Below are 2,996 nucleotides of genomic sequence, written 5' to 3'. Positions count from 1 at the left end.
TAAACAAAAAGAACAAAGCTGGAGGCATCATACTACCTGACTTCAAACTATACTACAAAGTTACAGTAACCAAAACAGCATGGTATTGGTACAAAAACAGGCACATAAACCAATGGAACAGAATAGAGAACCCAGAAATAAGACTGCACACCTACAGCTATCTGATCTTCGACACACCTGACAAAAACAAGCAATGGGAGAAGGATTCCCTATTTAATAAATGGTGCTGGGATAACTAACTAGCTATATGCAGAATATTAAATCTGGACCTCTTCCTTCTACCATGCACAAAAATTAACTCAAGATGGATTAAAGACTGAAATCTAAAACCCAAAACTATAAAAACCCTTGAAGACAACCTAGGCAATACCATTCTAGACATAGGAACAGGCAAAGATTTCATGATGAAGACCCAAAAAGCAATTGCAACAAAAGCAAAAATTGACAAATGAAATCTAATTAAATTTAACAGCTTCTGCTCAGCAAAGAAAACTATCAATAGAGTGAATAGACAACCTACAGAGTGGGAGAAAATTTTTGCAAACTATGCATCTGACAAAGGTCTAATATTCAGGATCTAGAAGGAATTTAAACAAATTTACAAGAAGAAAACCAAACAACCCCATTGAAAAGTGGGCAAAGGATATGAACAGACACTTCTCAAAAGAAGACACAAATGAAGCCAACAAGTACATGAAAAAAAGCTCAATGTCACTGATCACTAGAGATATGAAAATCAAACCTGCAATGAGATATTATCTCATGCCAATCAGAATGGCTATTATTAAGAAGTCAAAAAATAACAGATGCTGGCTAGGTTGCAGACAAAAAGGAATGCTTATACACTGTTGGAGGGAATGTAAATAAATTCAGCTATTGTAGAGGACCTTGTCACGATTCCTCAAAGAATGTGAAACAGAAATAGCATTAGATCCAGCAATCCCATTACTGAGTATATACCCAATGAAATAAAAATCATTCTGTTATAAAGACACATGCACACATATGTTCATTGTGTCAGTATTCACAATTGCAAAGACATGAAATCAACCTAAATGCTCATTAATGCTAGACTGGATAAAGAAAATGTGGTACATAAACACCATGGAATACTATGCAGCCACAAAAAGAATGAGATCATGCCCGTTGCAGGAACATGGATGGAGCTGGAGGCCATTATCTTTAGCAAACTCATGCAGAAACAGAACACCAAATACCATATACTCTCACTTAGAAGTGGGGCTGATGACCAAGTAGAAACAGTGTCCGTTTGCAGTTCCCATTGAGAGAAATGCAAAAGGTGAGTGATTTCTGCATTTCCAACTGATTCTTTCATTGGGACTGACTAGGTGGTTTGTGCAACCCATGGAGAGTGAGGAAAAACAGAGTGGGGTGATGGTTCATCTGAGAGCTGGATGGGGTAAAGGGACCTCCCTCCCCCAGCCAAGGGAGGCAGTAAGGGATTATGCTACCCACCTGGGGCACTACACTTTTTCCGTGAATTTTTGCAACCTGTGGATCAGAGGGTTCCTTTGTGAGCCTACACCACCAGGGCCTTGGGTCCCAAGCACAAAACTGGGCAGACCCGTGGCAGCTGCTCCAGTAGGCGAATCCAGGTTGGGCAGACACTGAGCATAATCCGATGGCTCCTGAAACTCCAGAGAGGCAGGAGACCCATCTACTTCTGTGGAAAGGGGGCTGAAGTCAGGCAGCCAAGCAGCCTTGCTCAGTAGGTCACACTCCCATGGTTCCCTGCAAGCTAAGACTCACGGGCTTGGAATCCCCGCTGGCCAGCACAGCACCGTGGAGTCTGCCTAAAATGACCAGGTCCCTGAGGGGAGGGGCAACCAGCATTACTGCAGCTCTAGTCGGTGGTTTTTCCCTGCCAGTGCTAGGGAGGCTGGGCAGTTTGGACTGGGTGGTATTCTCCACAGTGCAGCACAGCAGCTGTGGCAGATTGTGGCCAGACTGCTTCTCTAGTTGGGACCGGGATCCATCCCTCTTCACTGTGCAGGGCATCCCTGCAGGAATTCCAGCAACTCCAGCCAGGGGTTTACAGACAGAACTCTCATCTCCCTGGGACAGAGAACCTGGGGGCGGGGGTGGCCGTGGTCTCAGGTTCAGTGGACTTAATCTTTCCTGACTGCTGGCTCTGAAGAGTCCAGGCAGACTGGAAAAGGGGGATTCCCTAAGCACAGTGCACCAGCTCTGCTAAGGGGCAGCCAGACTACTGCCTTAAGGGGGTCCTTGATCCTGTGCCTCCTGACTGGGTGAAACCTCCCAACAGGGGTTATCAGACACCTCATATAGGAGAGTTCCAACTGGCATTAGGTTGGTGCCCCTTTGGGACGAAGCCTCCAGAGGAAGGAGCAGGCAGCAATCTTTGCTGTTCTGCAGCCTCCACTGATGATACGCAGGCAAACAGGGTCTGGAGTGGACCCCAGAAAACTACAGCAGACCTGCAAAAGAGAGGCCTGATGGTTAGAAGAAAAACAAACAAAAAGAAAGCGACAACAACATCATCAACAAAAAAGACCACCCAAAAACCCCATCCAAAGGTCAACAGCCTCAAAGGTCAAAGGTAGATAAATCCATGAAGATGAGGAAAAACCAATGCAACAACACTGAAAATTCCAAAAACCAGAATGCCTCTGCTCCTACAAATGATTGCAATATCTCCCAGCAAGAGCACAGAACTGGGCTGAAGCTGAGAAGGATGAACTGACAGAAGTAGGCTTCAGAAAGTGGGTACTAATGAACTTGACTGAGCTAAAGGATTATGTTCTATCCCAATGCAAAGAAGCTAAGAACCATGACAAAAGATTACAGGAGCTGTTAACTAGAATAACCAGTTTAGAGAGAAAGATAAATGACCTGATGGAGCTGAAAAACACAGCCCGAGAACTTCATGATGCAAACACAAATATCAATAGCTGAATTGACCAAGCAGAAGAAAGAATATCAGAGCTTGAAGACTATCTTGCTGAAATAAGGCA

At 44.4% G+C, this 2,996-nt stretch overlaps 1 annotated feature.

Annotated features, from left to right (window-relative positions):
* Positions 1,252 to 1,752: an enhancer, noted in NCBI's record as "H3K4me1 hESC enhancer chr3:182033397-182033897 (GRCh37/hg19 assembly coordinates)". NCBI's record gives its function as "activates a minimal SCP1, AML or CMV promoter by ChIP-STARR-seq in primed H9 embryonic stem cells {active_cell/tissue: H9 hESC(primed)}" and the evidence as "EXISTENCE:reporter gene assay evidence [ECO:0000049][PMID:30033119]".

Source organism: Homo sapiens, chromosome 3, assembly GCF_000001405.40.
Source record: "Homo sapiens chromosome 3, GRCh38.p14 Primary Assembly".
In the NCBI taxonomy this organism is placed as follows: Eukaryota; Metazoa; Chordata; class Mammalia; order Primates; family Hominidae; genus Homo; species Homo sapiens.
Note: the sequence above shows the minus strand (reverse complement) of the source record. Positions and strands in the feature narration are given on the sequence as shown.